General features: G+C 44.1%; 1 long non-coding RNA gene across 3 annotated transcripts in view; it reads right to left on the reverse strand.

Moving 5' to 3' along the window:
* LOC105375341 (uncharacterized) overlaps positions 1 to 20,270 on the reverse strand; it is a 170,147-nt gene that overhangs the window by 64,756 nt on the left and 85,121 nt on the right. The window contains exon 4 of one of the 3 annotated variants that reach the window (NR_187907.1): positions 19,823 to 19,993. The exons of the other annotated variants lie outside the window; for them this stretch is intronic. This is a non-coding gene — a long non-coding RNA (uncharacterized LOC105375341). Of the gene's footprint in view, positions 1 to 19,822; positions 19,994 to 20,270 lie in introns of those variants that run through there. 3 annotated transcript variants of the gene reach the window in all.

A 20,270-nucleotide genomic window follows, 5' to 3' on the forward strand; every position in this document is an offset into this window, starting at 1 on the left:
ATTTTGTTTTTGTTTTTGAGATGGAGTCTCGCTGTGTGGTCAGGCTGGAGTGCAGTGGTGCGATCTGGGCTCACTGCAACCTCCGCCTCTCAGGTTCAAGCGATTCTCCTGCCTCAGCCTCCCAAGTAGCTGGGACTACAGGCATGCACCGCCCCCAAGCCCAGCTAATTTTTGTATTTTTAGTAGAGACGGGGTTTCACCATGTTGGCCAGGATGGTCTTGATCTCTTGACCTCATATTCTGCCTTCCTCAGCCTCCCAAAGTGCTGGGATTACAGGCGTGAGCCACCGAACCCGGCTGTATAATTGTTTTAAGGCACTTATGTTTGGGGTGCCTTGTTAGGTAGCAAAGGCTAGGGACACAATACCAGGGGAAGACTTAGAGGAACCAGGAACAGAGGAATAAACTAGCAGCTGAGGCAGGAGAATCCTTGAACCCAGGAGGCAGAAGTTGTAGTGAGTTGAGAGTGCACCACTGCACTGCAGTCTGGGAGACAGAGGGAGACTCAGTCAAAAAAAAAAAAAAAAGAGAGAGAGCTCTCAGTTCTGCAGGCTGGCTCAGGTGTGAAGAGAAGATATGACCAACCCAGCACGTGCTGAGGAGCCCTGCCTGGGTCCTTAGCTGAGCAACCATTCCCAGACCAAACTGTCTTTCCACAACCTACTCCTGTTGACCTGATTGTTTAGTAGAGTGTCATACTATGCCTGTGTTCACACTTTGATTTAGGCCTCAGTAAGTCCCACATTGGATTCTGTTCCTGCCTCTAACTGGGCTCTTTAATGTCCACCCATTCCTGTCTTACCAATGTATATTCAGACTTGGGCTTTTTAACTAAATATTTGGCTGGGCACAGTGGCTCACACCTGTAATCCCAACATTTTGGGAGGCCGAGGCAGGAGGATTGCTTGAGGCCAGGAGTTTGAGACCAGCTGGGGCAACATAGTAAGATCCCGAGGTCTACAAAAAATAAAAATACTAGCTGAATGTTGCGGTGCATGCCTGTATTCCCAGCTACTTGGGAGGCTGAGGCTGGAGGATGATTTGAGCCCAGGAATTCCAGGCTGCATTGAGCCAGCAGTGAGCCATGCAGCCTGAAACTTCTGAGCTCAAGCCATCCTCCAGCCTCAGCCTCCCAAGTAGCACTTGTACCACTGTCCACCAGCCTGGGAAACAGAGCGAGACCCAGTCTCAAAAAATAAAATAAAATAGAATGAAAATATTAAATATTCACCTGCATGCCCCATCTTTTGCTGTTTCCTGCTGATCTCCTAAATCTGACCTGGCTCGCCACCTCCTTGTTCTGGTCCTTGGTTTTACCTTCTTACTCCAACCCATCAAGTGCCTTGGCAAACTCTGCATCAAGAAATTGGCATCACAGCTGAACCTTGGGGCTGGAACCCAGCCTTGGTTGTCTTTCATCATTTCCTTCTCAACATTGCACTCCCTTCTGCCACTGGAAGGCTGTCTTCTTCATTTATTTATTTATTTTTTTTTGAGATGAAATTTTTGCTCTGTTGCCCAGGCTGGAGTGCAATGGCACGATCTCAACTCACTGCAACCTCTGCTTCCTGGGTTCAAGCAATTCTCCTGCCTCAACCTCCTGAGTAGCTGGGATTACAGGCGCCTGACACCAAACCCAGCTAATTGTTTTGTATTTTTAGTAGAGATGAGTTTTCATCATGTTGGCCAGACTGGTCTCGAACTCTTGACCTCAGGTGATCCACCCGCCTCAGCCTCTCACAGTGCTAGGATTACCAATGTGAGCCACCTCGCCCGGCCCTGAAGGCTGTCTTCTAATGCGTTCCTGAATCCCTCACTGTCCCTGTGTTCTCATGGCTAACCTGCTTTCCAGCACATCAAGATGTCACTTACTGAGAATTTCAACTTCTGCCAGCCAGAAGTTGAAGGCAGCCAGTGGCAGGCAGTCTGATGCAGGCAGCTCTCTCCACCTGACCCCACAGAAGGGCTGCATTTCCAAAGTCAGCGGCTACTTCCTCCAAAGGATTACTCAGGACTTTCCTGGCAAGGGGGATGATTATGCCTGCCACAAAACTTATTAACTTGTCAATCCTTGGCAGAGGGGTTGCGCCTGAAAACTGTTTTCAAGTAGCAAGAATGCACTTGATTCATGGAGAGAGGCATTTTTTATTTGAGAAAAAAAAAAGTAAATCCCTTTTCTGCACTCCGATAAATTAAAAAATCCATACTATTAAATAGCACTAGGAAAAACTAGCTCTTAGAGGACTCATGAATACTTTCAAATTATGGTGAAACAAAGACACACAGAAGGCAATGTCACAAATATAAGATACTCTTTTTTTTGAAACAGGGTCCTGCTCTGTCATTCAGGTTGGAGTGCAGTGGTATGATGATAGCTCAAAGCAGCCTCTAACCCCTGAGCTCAAATAATCGTCCTGCCTTAGCCTCCTGAATAGCTGGGATTAGAGGTGAGCACCACCATGCCTGGCTAATTTTTGAATTTTTTTCTAGCAATGGGATTTCACCATGTTGTCTAGGCTGGTCTCGAACTCCTGACCTCAAGAGATCTGCCCACCCTGGCCTCCCACAGTGCTGGGATTACAGGCGGGAGCCACTTGCCCAGCCCATATCACTTTTTGATCCTAAAAATCCCTTTATGTGTCTTTGGGATATTTAAGGAGATAGGTATTAAAGAGATTTAGTGGGCCAGGCACTGTAATCCCAGCACTTTTGGAGGCCGAGGTGGACAGATCACCAGGTCAGGAGATCGAGACCAGCCTGGTTAACATGGTGAAATCCTGTTTCTACCAAAAATACAAAAAATTAGCCAGGTGTGGTGATGGACACCTGTAATTCCAGCTATTTGGGAGGCTAAGGCAGGACAGTTGCTTAAATCTGGGAAGCGGAGGTTGCAGCGAGCTGAGATGGCGCCATTGTACTCCAGCCTGGGCAACAAGAGCAAAAGTCTATCTCAAAAATAAATAAATAAATAGTAGAAGTTTCCAGGTGTGCATTTCAGGGTGACAGGAAGCTTTACTCCATGTAGTAGCTCAGGAATTCAAGCTGATGGCTTCAAAAGTTACTGAGTGTCACCTTTTCTGACAATGTGAAGATGGAAAGAGTGGAAGTTTAAACCTCCAAATTTCCTTTTCAGTAAATGAGGCAGAAATTGCACATATTACTTCCTTTCCAGTTCCACCAGCAGTATAGTTATACGGCCACCCTAATCAAACAGGGCTGGAAAATGTAGTCTCAAGTTGGACTCAGGTCTACTACAACAATAGCAATAGATGTGTAAAACTGATTACAATTGCAGCTTGCATCTCTACCACACCATGACTGGCATAGACAAATTGTGATTCATACCCCATCGTGGATGAGGGACATTCCTTCTTGAGATCAAAGGATGAGATACTACTACCTGCACTCAGCATGGAGATTTCATTAGGAGAAAAAGTGAGAATTGGCTATAGGTGAGGTAATAAATAGTGTCTAGTGTATACTTTTCATATAAATAACTGACAGTTGGGAAAAAGTAAATTAAGGCATTATATCTCTGCTTTGGTTTTATTACACTGTGTCTGACATGTTTAATTCTACATGAGTCTTCAGGACCAGACTCTGTCCTCTGAGGACAAGGATTTTGTTGGTGACATCCCTTTGCCCCCAACCTCTCCCTGTGGCTCTATGCTTGAAACACTGGAGGTGTTCCATGTTTGCTAATGACCAGAATGTACAAGGTTCAGGTTTCCTGACTGTTATGCATGTGCATGTGAAGAGACCACCAAACAAAAAAGAACTGGAATTGGAAGGACAAGGAGATTGAAGGGTAGTGAGAGAGGGTGGAGAAGAGAGTGAAAAGACTGCTTCCCTGATTTGAAATTGGTGAGATGTTCCTTGGACTGGTCTGAGGACCCGAGGTCGTAGGTGGATCTCCTCACGGAGTGAGGACGAGGACAGGGAACCAGTCTCCTGAAGGAGTCCTCCTGTCCCGGGTTTTGGCACCAAATGTCACGTGCGTCCATGTGAAGAGACCACCAAACAGGCTTTGTGTGAACAATAAAGCTTTTTAATCACCTGGGTGCAGGTGGGCTGAGTCCGAAAAAGGAGTCAGCAAAGGGAGATAGGGGTGGGGCAGCTTTATAGGATTTGGGTAGGTAAAGGAAAATTACAGTCAAAGGGGGTTGTTCTCTGGTGGGCAGGGGTGGGGGTCATAAGGTGCTCAGTGAGGGAGGTTCTGAGACTCATTGTCCAGGAGAAGGAATTTCACAAGGTTAATTGATCAGTCAAGGTGGGGCAGGAACAAATCACAATGGTGGAATGTTATCAGTTAAGGCAGGAACCAGCCATTTTCAATTCTTTTGTGGTTCTTCAGTTGCCTTAGGCCATCTGGATGCAGGCTTGGGCTCGGAGGCCTGACAATGGCCATAGCCCTGGGCTGTGTATCTACCCACACCAAGGAAAACAAGGAGTTGGAAATCAGGGTGGTTCATGGTTTTAACCATTGAGCCAACTTATACCAATGGTTGAGGACAGAAATGGAGTGATAGTAAAGTGAGCACATGTGGTTATAGTAATTGCAACATTGGGTTGGTATCATCCTTGACCTCTGTGTGTTGGGTTGGTTCTATGTCTATGTATTGAAATTTTCTCTGCTTCCCCCTGTCCTGTGGTGTATACACTTGGTACATTGCTTTGTATAACTCAGTCTTGTTGCCAAAATAACCAGCTGTGTGCATATCCCTTCTCTTTCCTTGAGAATTTAGGATCCTCAAAATCAAGGGACATTTATTAATCTTATTTTTTTCCAGCATCTTTTATAATGCCTAGGAGGAAGGGTTTTTTTTTTTTAATGTTGAGAAAACTGAATGAAAAAATAGTTTGCTTATGCTGACATAATACATCTTTCAAAACCCCTGACATGATTGGCCAATTATATAAATATTACTCACCACGACTTTAGGACAATAAGCAACACTATTGAATTTATAGATTAAACACATATTTATTGAGCATGTATTATGTGCAATAAAGTCGTCTACTACACAGCAGGGAGTAGTTCAAATGCAAAGTGGCTCCATGCAGCGAAGGCATTATCTAACACTCCTAACTACAGGAATATGGGCCCTTTTTCTATTTAAAGTTGAATTTAGGGATTAGTTAGATGTTATGGGGATTTCTACCAATAGTGAACTTTCTATAATTAGCCTTATCCAAGTAGATGGTGAATGATCACCAGAACAGAATATTACTCAAGGGAGGTAAAGCTCCATTTCTGAAAAAGCCCTTCCAAAACAAAGTTTCCATAATTATAAGGGGCAAAGGGTGATGCTTTGGCTACATTCTATAGGAACTAAACTTACACCACCTTGTTCAACCATTGGTAAGGACTTTGACCATTCACTAATGAGCTGAAATATCAGGATAATTTTTTTTCTTTTTTTTGAGACAGAGTCTCACTCTGTCGCCCAGGCTGGAGTGCAGTGGCATGAACTTGGCTCACTGCAACCTTCCCCTCCTGGGTTCAAGTAATTCTTGTGACTCAGCCTCCTAAGTAGCTGGGATTAGAGGCATGTGCCACCATGTCCAGCTAATTTTTGTGTTTTTTGGTAGAGATGGGTTTCACCTCATTGGCCAGGCTGGTCTCGAACTCCTGACCTCAAGTGATCCACCCACCTTGGCCTCCCAAAGTGCTGGGATTACTGACATGAGCCACTGTACCTGGCCAATGCCAGGAGAATTTGATAGTGATAATACGGTGTTTAGGGGCTAAGAATGGTCTAATTTTGTCCAATGCCCTAATTACTCATCATGGTGATATAGGAGTTAAGAAGAAATTACTTAGGCAGATAGTGAGGGTATGGGTGTCTTCGGTAATGTTTTCCTTTTTAATGAAAAGCAGCATGAAAATCATTTTCTACCAAAGAGCAGCCTGTAAAGAACTGCAGACAGAGACAAGCAAGCTGGAAGCTTGCACGGGTGAATGACGGTAGGAAAAAGGTACCTGGGACTAGACATGTTCAAAATAACCATCTTCCCTTCCCCTTGCCAGCCATGTGTGCAGTAAGGAGCAGACAAGACGGCACCTGTCAAGGGGACAGTCCATTTGCATGGTAAGATTAGGGTGGGATGGCCAGACTTCCTAGAGACTATGTGTACCTAACACCTGATCAGACCAATCCGTGAGCCCTGTGTAAATCAGACACTGCCTCCTCGAGCCTGCCTATAAATCTGGTGCACTCCACTGGTTTTTTTCCTTTTCAGAAGCCCCTCTCTCTCACTAGAGAGAGAGCTTTTCTCCTTCCTCTTTCCTCTGCCTATTAACCTTCTGCTCCTAAACTCCTTGCATGTGTCCATGTCCTAAAGTTCTTGGCACAAGACGACGAACCCCAGGTATTTGCTCCAGACAATGATGCCATGTCAATGGTGAGTTTCAGAAGGAAATGTCCTCACTTTAGGGGCAAAGCCAAGAGAAAAGAAGAAGAAAAAAAAAACCAACATGACTAAGGATAGCTGGGCCTGGATCCTAGACCCCAATTCAGAGCTCAGGTAAGCTCTACTGGACCACATGTTAAAACATTTATCCTAAATTCTTAGGTATTAGCTTTTTCACATACAGTCCAGTTTCTTATACCTGCCAGTCCCAGTGGAGAATCAGTCAGGACATATTCATTAAGATTGTCAGTGCTGGCTGGGCACAGTGGCTCACAACTGTAATCCCAGCACTTTGGGAGGCCGAGGTGGGTGGACTACCTGAGGTCAGGAGTTCTAGACCACCTTGGCCAACGTAGTGAAACCCTGTATCTACTAAAAATACAGAAATTAGCCGGGCGTGGAGGTGGATGCCTGTAATCCCAGCTACTCGGGAGGCTGAAGCAGAATTGCTTGAACCCAGGGAGCGGAGGTTGCAGTGAGCTGAGATTGCGCCATTGCACTCCAGCCTGGCTACAGAGTGAGACCATATCTGAAAAAATTTTTAAAATTAGCCAGGTGTGGTGGCATACACTTGTAGTCCTCCTAACTACGCAAGAGAGTGAGGCAGGAGGATTGCCTGAGCTCAGGAGTTCGAAGTTTCGGTGAGCTATGATTGTAGCACTGTACTCAGCCTGAGTGACACAGAAAGAGCTCATCTCTAAAAAATTTCAAATATTCGCTGGGCATGATGACATGTGCTTGTAGGCCCAACTACTTGGGAGCTGGCTTGAGCCAGAAGTTTGAGGCTGCAGTGAGCTATGATCATGCCACTGCTTTCCAGCCTGGGCCATAGAGCAAGACCCAGTCTCACAGAAATTAATAAATAATAATAAATAAATAAAGGGCTGGGGGTTGAAGGGAGGGCTCTCTCTTGTTCCTCTTCTCTTCTGCTATATCTCTTCCATCCAGAGGGTATAGCAATAAGGCATCATCTTGGAAACAGAGAGTAGCCTTCACCAGACACCAAGCCTCCTGCTGGCACCTTGATCTTGGACTTCCCAGCCTCCAGAACCAGGATACATCAATCTCTATTCTTTATACATCACCCAGTCTGTGGTATTTTGCTATAGCAGCACAAACGAACCAAGACACTATTGACACATGGAAGAAAAATGGGTCCCAGAGGCCCCCCTCCCCCGATCTGGCTTTCACCTGTACCCTTTGTCATGGAAGCAAGAGAGGTGGATGTCGCTTTCTAGTCTTCAGGTTTCCAGAGCATAGACAGAAGAGTGTTGATAAAGGGGGGTGTCACAGAAAGTCAAATAACTTCTGGAAGGTCTCCACTAGGATATTATGTTGTAAATGACTTTAATAAGGAGATTTTCAGGCTGGGTGCAGTGGCTCATGCCTGTAATCCCAGCACTTTGGTAGGCCAAGGTGGGAGGATCACCTGAGGTCAGGAGTTTGAGACCAGCCTGGCCAACATGGTGAAACCACATCTCTACTGAAAATACAAAAATTAGCCAGGCGTGGTGGTACATGTCTGTAATTCCAGCTACTTGGGAGGCTGAAGCAGGAGAATCACTTGAACGTGGGAGGTGGAGGTTACAGTGAGCTGAGATGTGCCACTGCACTTCAGCCTGGGCAACAGATTAAGACTCTGTCTCAAAAAAATAAAAATAATAAGGAGACTTTTAGAGGCTGCAACCTAGAAACTCAGCCTCGGGTTGGCAACAGGCAGACACTTAATCAAGTTGGAAAATGCATTCTAATGCAAAAGGAGAAGAATTGGCAGACAGCTGGCAGGGATGCTGTACCCTGGCTGGGCTCTGGAAGGCCCTGCTGGGCAACTTTAACAGGTTGCAGCTGAGAAACAAGAGATGGGTCACATAAAGTAACTTTCAGTGGTCTTCAGCAAATGTGGCTGGCCAATGGCTTACAATGCAACTCCCTGAGATTCTTTCCCCTACTCTGGATGTGGAAGGGTATAGAGGGGTATGAAATAGTGTCCCTCTAGGTTGAGCTCATGGGCCAAGTGTGATGAGATGGAATGTAGTAGATATAAATGCAAACTTCCTCCCTTTAGTTCTAAAAACAATTGCATGAAAATCAAACAGGGAACTTGGCTTTGACTTATTGGTTTTGACTGGCTCAACAAAGGTTTTTTATTCTGATGCTTAGTTGTGTAGAGATCTGCCTTATTGTGCATGGGCTGGACAAGTTCAGATTTAAATGCTATATTTAAGAGGAGCAACACAGGCAACCTATATATTGTTTAGAGGACATTAATAAATGGTATAGGAAATTGAATTAGCAAGTGCCTAGTTTATTTAATCTTTAATATTCCAGGATCTCAAGTTTGTGAAAATATAGCTGAAAAGGATGTGGTCCCTGGCATAGTGGCTCATATCTGTAATCACAGTGTTTTGCAGGGCTAAGGTGGGAAGATCACTTGAGCCCCTGGGTTCAAGACCAGCCTGGGCAACATAGCAAGACCTCATCGCTACGAAAATTTTTAAAAAATTAGCTAGGCCTGATGGTGTATACCTGTATCCCAGCTAGTCAGGAGGCTGAAGCAGGAGGATCACTTGACCCCAGGAGTTGGGGGCTGCAGTTAGTTATGATCATGCCCCTGCACCCCAGCCTGGGCAATAGAGCAAGACCCTGTCTCTAAAAAATAAATAAATAAAATAAAATAAAAAATAAGGGGGCTTGGGGTTGTTGAATTCCCACCATATCCTAAGCACTATGGTATATAATGCTGTGGCTATGTTCTCCAGTTTGATCATTCTGGTCATTGTTCCCATTTCACAGATGAGGAAACCAGGGCTTTGAGAGGCTAGGCAGTTTTCCTACTCACCCAGCCAATCAACAGCATACCTTCTTTCTGCCCAATTCAATTCCACAACATCAAGCATGTCACATTCTGTGACTGTAAGATTCTTTGCTTCAGTGATCCTATGAATGATTCTTTGTATTTTTTGTTGTTGTTGTTTGTTTTTGTTTTTTTTGGGACACAGTCTTGCTCTGTAACCCAGGCTGGAGTGCAGTGGCGCTATCTCGTTTCAATACAACCTTTGCCTCCCAGGTTCAAATGCTTCTCCTGCCTCAGCCTCCCAAGTAGCCGGGATTACAGGCAAGTGCCACCACATCCAGCTAATTTTTGTATTTTTTGGTAGAGGTGAGGCTTCGTCATGTTGGCCAGGGTGGTCTCAAACTCCTGACTTCAGGTGATCTGCCCACCTTGGCCTCCAAAAGTGCTGAGATTGCAGGCACGAGCCACCGAGCCCGGCCCCTATGAATGATTCTAACATTGCAGTGTTCAGAGACTGCACAGAATGGCTGTGCAGGAATAGAAAGGTTACAAAGGGGCACGGGGAGCACGAGGTGGAAGAAGGAACAGAGAAATTACAGAAGTGGTCATTCATTAGGTCCCCTGCCCCGCAAACAAAACATTCTTGTTTATTTCTCTGCATTTCTGCCAGGCAGCCATGTGACCTGAGAAGAGCTCCCTTGTGAGACAGGATTTTTCTCATTTCCTGGCTCCTAATCTAATAGAAATGTCTAAACTAATTGGCTGGCTCTGCCTGAAGAGGGGGGAGTGGGGAGAAAAGGTAGAATCAATCACTCCATTTGAAACTGCATCTGCTGAAAAGATGTCACGAAGAGGCAGGGAGGACCAGAATTCTGTTTACCCAAGCACTTCTCCTAGCAACCGCTGGCCCATTTCTTGTTTCTTGGCTGCAACCTGTTAAAGGTGCCCAGCAGAGCCTTCCAGAGCCTGGCCAGGGCACAGCGTCCCTGCCAGCTGTCCGCCGATTCTTCTCCTTTTACATTAGAACGCGTTTTACAACTTGATTAAGTGCCTGCCTGTTGCCAACCCTAGGCTGAGTTTCTAGGTTGCAGCCTCTGAAAGTCTCCTTATTAAAGGCATTTACAAAATAATATCCTAGTGGAGAGCTGCCAAGAGTTATTTGAAACTCCAGTTATTCCCATGGGATAGTCAATGTGAGTTTTCCCCAGTTAGAATTCATTTGGCTGGAAGACAGAGTCTTTGATACACACTTGTAAAAGTAACTTAATATTTGTGGGGTTTTCTTTTTTACTTTTTATTAAATCTTTTTTTATTTGTACAGATTTATGGGGTTCAAGCGTGATTTTGTTACATGCATAGATTGCATAGTAAGGTTAGAGTTTTTGGGTATCCATCACTCAAATAACATACATTGTATCGATTAAGTAATTTCCCGTTATCTGCCCTCCCTCTCACCCTCTCACTCTTCGCAGTCTCCATTTTCTATCATTCTACACTCTACATCCATGTTTAAATATTTATAATTAAAGGAACTGCAATTGTGATTCAGCTCCGACGTGGGTGGCAGAGACCTTACCTGTGTCCTAGCTACAAACGAAAGCTGCAGAATCTAACAGTTCTTGGTCATTTGTAGTGCCAGATCTCAGGAGGCAGATGAGTTCTGCAATAAGCTCACACTTCCTTGGATGTTTAAGATCATTGCACAGGCTGAGCATGGTGGCTCACACCTGTAATCCCAACACTTTGAGAGGTTGAGGTGGTTGGAACACTTGAGGTCAGGAGTTCGAAATCAGCCTGGCCGGTATGGTGAAACCCTGTCTCTATTAAAAATACAAAAATTAGCCAGGTGTGGTTGTGCACGCCTGTAGTCCCAGCTACTCAGGGGACTGAGGCACGAGAATCACTTGAACCAAGGAGATGGTGGTTGCAGTCTTGCCACTGCACTCTGGCCTGGGCGACAAGAGCGAGACTCCATCTCAAAAAAAAAAAAAAAAAAAAGATCTTGTTGCTCAGAGTTTGGCAGAGATCACAAAGGCCAAGACAAGCATGAAATGTGTCAAGGACACGAACATCCTTCATTAAGGTCCTAGACCTTGTTCAGGACATGCTAAGAGATGCCAAACCGCTTCAGCTAGCATTGGTCTTGTGACAGGCTGCTTATATAGGAATGGATTAAGAAGGGTATGGAGGATTTCTCTGGAGAGACTTGTTAGTATGCCATATCTCCACTCAGGGCCTCAGGAGGCCTCAGGGCAAGAGAGTGGGCTAGAAGAAAGCCATCTGGGGGTATTCTGTGTGGCTCTGGGGTTGGAACATCATAGGGAACTAGGCATCTGACTCACTTGTGACTGAGCTGCAGAAAGGGGCTTGTACTCTCACACCTGGCCATCACACAGAGAAAGAACTGTACCAGAATGGCCTGTAGGTCTAGAGTGGGCAGGGCAAACTCTAGTGAGATCTCTACGTGCCAGATATGGACCTGCTAAAGGGGCTCCTCCGTAAGGGTCAAGATAACTCCAACAGAGGGTGAACTTCAGGACAGGAGCTGAGCAGAACACTAAAAGCCGTGAGGGGAAGAGGCATTGCCCACTTCAAGGGAAGCTCAGGTGCAGGATTCCTGATGACCGAGAGGGGATGCCCAAAGAACCCTCAAGAGACCCCCATAAGGAAGAGAATTAACACACACCCAGCAGTTCCAATGGTAAATCCAATGGCATCAGTCAAGTGTACCTTTCCTCTCCTCCTTCATCCTTTCCAACTCACAGAGACCCAAAGTACAGTCAGAGAGTGACAGAGGGAAGGAGAAACAGGGAAGGAGGCCACCATCATCTACTGCCCACTCCCACTCCCCACTGCAGGTTTCCCAGCCACAAAAAGGCTGAGCTAGAGACTGAAAGGGGGACATTTTTTTACTCAAGAATGACCTTAAAAGCTGAAGGAACCTAACTGAAATTTCATGTAGCATTAGTGGAGATGAAAAAACCAGGGAAGTGGTCAAAAGTTAAAGTACAGTGACAGATAGAATCGTGTTACATCCAAGTCTACATCCAAGTCCAGTTTAATTATTAAATCTGTTGGTAGAGTCTTCCTAAAAGACAGAAGACTCCAGAACCAAAACAACAACAAAATAAAAATATGTGCATTATCAATCAAAAACTACAGTAATCATATGATTGGGACATATAATATACATTTTTTCGGGGAGGTTGTTTTTTGTTTTTTTGTTTGTTTGTTTTGAGATGGAGTTTCGCTCTCATTGCCCAGGCTGGAGTGCAATGGTGCAATCTTGGCTCATTGCAACCCCCGCCTCCCGGATTCAAGCGATTCTCCTGCCTCAGCCTCCCGAGTAGGTGTGATTACAGGCATCTTCCATCTCACTCGGCTAATTTTTTGTATTTTTAGTAGAGACTGGGTTTCACCATGTTGGCCAGGCTGGTTTCAAACTCCTGACCTCAGGTCATCATCCACCTTGGCCCCCCAAAGTGTCGGGATTACAGGCTTGAGCCACCGCACCTGGCCTGAGTTTTTATATGAGAAAAACTGTTAGCACAAGATCATGCCTCCTTCCTGCTAACTAAAAACATTCTCATGAGTCATTGAAGGGATAAAATATTCTAACACTTAGGCCATCTTAGTCTCAATCTCACAATGTCCCTGTTTTACTCTTATAATGCTATATACCGCTGGAAATGTTCTGTTCAGAGTGTTACATTCAATACCCTGTCACTGATTTCTTTAAGAAACAGAATATGGTTTTATAGCTTATGAAAGCATTGGTGTGCAGAAAAACATACTGTAGCCACATATTTTCTTTCTCATACCCTCACATTTCTGGAGAAACATAATCTACCCATTTAATAAGAAATGCAGAATTCTGCATTTAGTTGAAAGAAGCCCCTTTTTCATAAGAGATTTTATAATTCCTGAGTCTCGTGTGCAAATGGCAGAGAGTTACTCCCACAGCTCCCCTGCCAAACCCTCTCTTGCAGTAGATGAGATGTATCATTCCTTTTCTTATCTTGCATACAGAGTTGGCCACTGACAACTTATAATAGCTCCAGCTGACATGGGTTTCTCACATCTGGCCAGACACTCATTCCTCTTTTCCTTTTTATATGTAGTGGTCTTAAGACATGTGTTTAAATTTTTTGACATTTCTACCCATCAAGTCTAGTTCTCCTTCCCTAGAACATGAGCTGGTCTTAAGGATTCACTTCTCAAAAATAGAAAATGGCAGAAGCAATATTGCGTGGCATTCAGAACTAGATCAAAAAAGACAATACAGCATCAGCTTGGAATAATTTGGAACTCTTGCTGTTGGAACCCAGCCACCAGGCTGGGTCCCAGGCCACACAGAACAAACTCATGTCAGTGATCTGGCCAACAGCATGGCTCAGACCCCAACTCACAACTAGCATCACCCATCAGACAGGTGAGTAAGGAAGCCTCAGCTATGGTTTGACTACAACTCCATGAGAGACTACAACTGCCCAGCTGAGCCCAGCAACATGAGAGATTATAATACATAATCACTGCTGTTTTATCCCACAAAGTGTATGGTGGTTTGTGACACAGCTGTAGGAAATCATCACACTATCAAGATGCGATTCTTTAAGCATGTAAAGAAGTAATACCCACAAATTCCATATCTGGCAAAACTATCCTTCTGCAAGGAAAGAGAAATAACATTCTCATAGTAAAGAAAACTCTTTAAAAAGTCCCTGGCTTAAAGAACTGGCTAAAAGAAGTTCTTCATAGAAAAGAAAATGATAAAAGAATAAATCTTGGAGCATCAGGATGGAAAAAAGAACAATGGAAAGAGCAAATCTGGGTACATACAATAGACCATTGTTTTCCTCATGTGCTTTATAAATCATATTTGATGATTGCAACAAAAATTATGAAACTATCTGATACTCAGGACTGACACGTGAAAAGGCAGAGAAGGCAAAGAGACCCCACTGGAAGTAAGACTTTCATGCTTCACTCAAAGTACTGGAAATTCTGGTACTCTTAGACCATGATAAGTCACATTATGTATATTTTAATTTCCACAGCAACCACTAAAAACATTATACAAAGAAATACAGTCAAAAACATTATAAATTAACTGAGATGGAATATTTAAAAAATATTGACAGGATCTTCAGGAAGGTGAGACAAGAAAAACAGAGAGAACAAATCAGGAAAAAAGGTATATTTAAGCACTAATAAATCAATAATTACTTTCACTGAACGTGGCCTTAAAACATCATCAACAAAATTTAGACCTTGGTAGGGTAGATAAAAACATTGTGACACAACTATATGGTGTTTACAAGAAACTGACATCAAATCCAGATAGGAGGTCAAAAGTGAAAGGATAGAAAATATATACCAAGAATACTATAATAAAAGAAAATCAAGGGTGGCTATAATAATATCTGTTAAAGTAGACTCTTGGGAAAGGAAATTACTACAAAGAGAGACATATCATTATTATATATGATAAACAGATCAGTTCTCCAGGAAGACCTGGATGTGTATGGACCAAAGAATAGAGTGTCAAGATCCCTGAAGCAAAAATCAATAGAGCTGAGAGGAGAACTAGACAAATCCACAATTAGAGTTTAAGAATTTAACACTTCTCTCCCAACCACTAATAAAACCACTAGGTAGAAACTGGCAAAGATATAGAAGATTGGAATCATGCAATCAACCAACAGGTTCTAATTGACATATGTAGAACGCAGCAAAAAGCAAAAAAATAATAAGCTATGTTTTTCCCCAGTGCTCATGGAACATATTCTAAGATAGGCCATATCCTGGACCACAAAGTACACTTCAGCAAATTTTTAAAAACTGAAATTATAGCCGGGCACAGTGGCTCACACCTGTAATCCCAGCACTTTGGGAGGCTGAGGTGAGCAGATCACGGGGTCAGGAGTTTCAGACCAGCCTGGCCAACATGGTGAAATCCTGTCTCTACTAAAATTACAAAAATTAACCAGGTGTGATGGCGTATGCCTGTACTTCCAGCTACTTGGGAGGCTGAGGCAGAAGAGTTGCTTGAACCTGGGAAGCTGAGGTTGCAGTGAGCCAAGATCATGCCACGCACTCAAGCCTGGGCAACAGAGTGAGACTCCATCTCAAAAAAAAAAAAAAACCACAAACAACAACAACAACAACAACAAACCACCACCACCAACAAAAAAAACAACATTGAAATTATATACAGTGTGATCTCTGGTCATGGATTCCAACTAGAAATCAATAAGACAAAAACAATGAAAACTAAACAGGAAAAATTAAACAACACACTCCTAAATAATCCATTGGCCAAGTAGGAAGCTTCAAAACAAATAAAAGTGCATACAAGCAAACAAAAATAAAACATAACAAAATATTGGGATGTAGTTAAGAGATTTTGAGAGGAAAATTTATAACACTAAATGCTTACATAAAGAAAAAGGAAAGATCTCAATAAGTAATCTAAGTTCCTATGCCTCAGGAAATCCAAAATATCAAAATCTAAAGCAAGCATAAGGAAGGAAATAATAAAAATTACATCAGGAATTAATTAAATTAAGAAAAGAAAAACAATACAGAAAAATCAATGAAACAAGAAGATGGTTCTTCAAAAGAGTACATTTGATAAAACTTTAGGAAAAACTGACAAAAATAGAAGACACAAATCATCAATATCAAAAATATAACACCGTACATATAGAGTATATTAATATCATATTCTGGGATATCGCTGCAGATTCTGTAGCCATTAAAACATTAAGAGAACACCAAAAACCACAACTTAGGAGAAATGGACAAATTCCTGAAAGCCACATACTGCCAAAACTCAACCAAAATGAAGTGGATCACCTGATCAGCTCCATAATGATTCAAAAATTGAATTTGTAATTTAAAATCCTCCCCAAATTAAACTACAATAATATATTTCTAGACACCTAGCAAAATGACCAAATCAAAAAATAGTAAGAACACTAAATGCTGGTGAGGATATGGAGAAACTGAATCACTCAGTCACTGTTGGTACAAATGTAAAATGGCACAGTCACTCCATAAAACAGTTTGGCAGTTTCTTATGAAGTTAAATATACAAATGTTACACAATCCAGAAATTGTGTGCTTGGTCATTTAACTCGGAGGAATGGAAACTTATGTTCACAAAAAATCCTGAAAATAGTAGCTTTATTAGTAACAGTCTATGGAAATAACCCAGTGTATTTCACCCAGGAATGATTACACAAACTGTGGTATACGTATACTGTGGGTACTATGCAGCAATAACAAGGGAATAAATTATTGATTTTTTAAATGAAAAAATTGGGATGAATCTCCAGAAAATTTATGCTAATGAGAGGTGTGACAGCGTTCTGGCAGTCCTCACAGCCCTCGCTAGCTCTGGGCGCCTCCTCTGCCTGGGCTCCCACTTTGGCGGCACTTGAGGAGCCCTTCGGCCCACCGCTGCACTGTGGGAGCCCCTTTCTGGGCTGGCCAAGGCTGGAGCCCACTCCCTCAGCTTGCGGGGAGGTGTGGAGGGAGAGGCGCGAGCGGGAACTGGGGCTGCGCGCGGAGTTCCGGGTGGGCGTGGGCTTGGTGGGCCCCGCACTCGGAGCAGCCAGCTGGCCCTGCCGGCCCCGGGCAGTGAGGGACTTGGCACCCGGGCCAGCGGCTGCCGAGGGTGTACTGGGTCCCCCAGAAGTGCCGGCCCACTGGCGCTGTGCTGGATTTCTCACCCCCAGCCTTAGCTGCCTTCCCGCGGGGCAGGCCTTGGGACTGCAGCCTGCCATGCCTGAGCCTTCCCCCGCCTCCGTGAGCTCCTGTGCAGCCCGAGGCTCCCCGACGAGTGCCGCCCCCTGCTCCAGGGCGCCCAGTCCCATCGACCACCCAAGGGCTGAAGAGTGCGAGCGCATGGCGCGGGACTGGCAGGCAGCTCCACCTGCAGCCCCAGTGCGAAAGCCACTGGGTGAAGCCAGCTGGGCTCCTGAGTCTGGCGGGGCCTTGGAGAACCTTTATGTCTAGCTCAGGGATTGTAAATACACCAATCGGCACTCTGTATCTAGCTCAAGGTTTGTAAACACACCAATCAGCACCCTGTGTTTAGCTCAGGGTTTGTGAGTGCACCAACTGACACTCTGTATCTAGCTGCTCTGGTGGGGCCTTGGAGAACCTTTGTGTGGATACTCTGTATCTAACTAATCTGATGGGGAGGCGGAGAACCTTTGTATCTAGCTCAGGGATTGTAAATGCACCAATCAGCGCCCTGTCAAAACAGACCACTGGGCTCTACCAATCAGCAGGACGTGGGTGGGGCCAGATAAGAGAATAAAAGCAGGCTGCCGGGACCAGCAGTGGCAACCCGCTGGGGTTTCCTTCCACACTGTGGAAGCTTTGTTCTTTCACTCTTTGCAATAAATCTTACTGCCGCTCACTCTTTGGGTCCACACTGCTTTTATGAGCTGTAACACTCGCTGGGAAAGTCTGCAGGTTCACTCCTGAAGCCAGAGAGACCACAAACCCACCAGAAGGAAGAAACTCCGAACACATCCGAACATCAGAAGGGACAACCTCCAGATGCGCCACCTTAAGAGCTATAACACTTACAGCGAGGGTTCGCAGGTTCATTTTTGAAGTCAGTGAGAACAAAAACCCCCCCAATTCCGGACACACACTAAGTGAAAAAAGCCAACCCCGAAGTGTTAACGTACTACTGTATGATTTTATAGAATATTTTTGAAAAGACAAAATTTTAGAAAAAATAAGATTACCAAAGATTAGGGGTGGGAAAGGAAAGGAAGATGGGTGTAGTTATGGAAGAGTGACATGGCCTGGCGCTGTGGCTCATGCTTGTAATTCTAGCACTTTGGGAGGCCCAGGCGGGTGAATCATGAGGTCAAAAGATCGAGACCATCCTGGCCAACATGGTGAAACCCCGTCTCTACTAAAAAATACAAAAAATTAGCTGGGAGTATTGGCGGGCGCCTGTAATCCCAGCTACTCAGGAGGCTGAGGTAGGAGAATCACCTGATCCCGGGAGGCGGAGGTTGCAGTGAGCTGAGATCGCACCACTGCGCTCCAGCCCAGGCAACAGAGTGAGACTTTGTCTCAAAAAAAAAAAAAGAAAAAGAGTGACATGATGAGGTGTCCTCCTGGTAATGGTGTTGCTCAATGTCTTGATGGTGGCCGATAAAGCTTCAGATATGATATCTTTGTATAAAATTAAATGTGCATGCACACAGACACAAATGAGTTATACATACAATTGGAGAAATCTGAAAAAGATGAATTGATTATATCAATGACATACTGGTTGTAATATTGTACTATAGTTGTTCAAGATGTTACCATCGGGAAAACTGGATATAGAGTGCTCTGTAATTTTTCTTAGAACTGCATGTGAATCTATAATTATATCAATAAACCTTTTTTTTTTTTTTTGAGACAGAGTCTCGCTCTTTCACCTAGGATGGAGTGCAGTGGCACAATCTCAGCTCACTGCAGCCTCTGCCTCCCGGGTTCCAGTGATTCTCCTGCCTCAGCCTCCGGGGTAGCTGAGATTACAGGCGTGCATCACCATGCCCAAATTTTGGTATTTCTAGTAGAGACAGGGTTTCATCATGTTGGCCAGGCTGGCCTCAAGCTCCTGACCTCAGGTGATCCGCCTGCCTGTGCCTCCCAAAATGCTAGGATTACAGGTGTGAATCAATAAAACTTTTAACTAAACATTATGTTTATAAAGTGGTTGTGATAGTATGAGATAAATTGTTTGTAAAATAGCCATAGGCTTAAAAAGCTAAAATGTTCATGAAATTTACCTACACCGTGAATATAGTTAAACAGAAAGCAAAATAAAAAGGGTATAAAATGTAAAATTGGGCTGGGCGTGGTGGCTCACGCCTGTAATCCAAGCACTTTGGGAGGCTGAGGTGGGCGGATCACCTGAGCTCAGGAGTTCAAGACTAGCTTGGCCAACATAGTGAAACCCTGTCTCTACTAAAAATACAAAAAAATTAGCTGGGTGTGGTGGCAGGTGCCTGTAATCCCAGCTACTCGGAGGCTGAGGCAGGAGAATTGCTTGAAACCGGGAGGCAGAAGTTGCAGTGAGTCGAGATCCCGCCATTGCACTCCAGCCCGGGCAACAAGAGCGACACTCCATCTCAAAAAAAAAAAAAAAAAAAAAAAAGTAAAATTAAAAAGGAGGCCGGGCATGGTGGCTCATACCTGTAATCCTAGCACTTTGGGAGGCCAAGGCGGGTGGATCGCGAGGTCAGGAGTTCAAGACCAGCCTGGACAACATGGTGAAACGCTGCCTTTGCTAAAAATACAAAAATTAGCCAGGTGCGACAGGCACCTGTAATCCCAGCTACTCGGGAGGCTGAGGCAGGAGAATCGCTTGGACCCAGGGGGTGGAGGTTGCAGTGAGCTGAGCAAAGATTGCACCACTGCACTCCAGCCTGGTCAATAGAGTGAGACTCTGTCTCAAAAAAAAAAAAAAAAAAAAAGAATGGAAAGGTCAAAAGGAGGTGAAGGTGAAGTATACTATGTTAAAACTTTTGTTTTTCAAATTTTTTATAATGAGCATATGAGACTTTTATAATAGGAAAACATTAATTTGATTAAAATATATACTTTTATTCATTCTGATCCTTTCTGGGTCCCTGGTACTTGTCGCATTATCAGAATCACCCACTTTTCTCTTGCTTAAGGCTGCTTACATGGCTTCCTTATGGATTTCTTCCCCATTCCTCTGCTAATGTACTTTGGGCTTGTCTTGAAATTATCCAACTGTGAAGACACAGAATTTCAAATTTGCCTGCCTATGCACAAACATTGCCACAGCTGGGAGGATTCTCTAGGGAAATGTTGAAAGCAAGTCGAGATGCTAGAGGAGTTTGGAGAAGATTTTTTCACATGGAGAGTTCCGGCTGCAATTAAGTTGTACTCAAAACCAGATAGGCTAGAAAATATTGGGGAGGAAAATGTGGTTCCATCCTTTATACAAAGAATAGTGTTTCATATCCGGATAAAAGAAAATCTTCAATGAATTGCAAAATCTTTAGAG

Source organism: Homo sapiens, chromosome 7 (genome assembly GCF_000001405.40).
Source record: "Homo sapiens chromosome 7, GRCh38.p14 Primary Assembly".
In the NCBI taxonomy this organism is placed as follows: domain Eukaryota; kingdom Metazoa; phylum Chordata; class Mammalia; order Primates; family Hominidae; genus Homo; species Homo sapiens.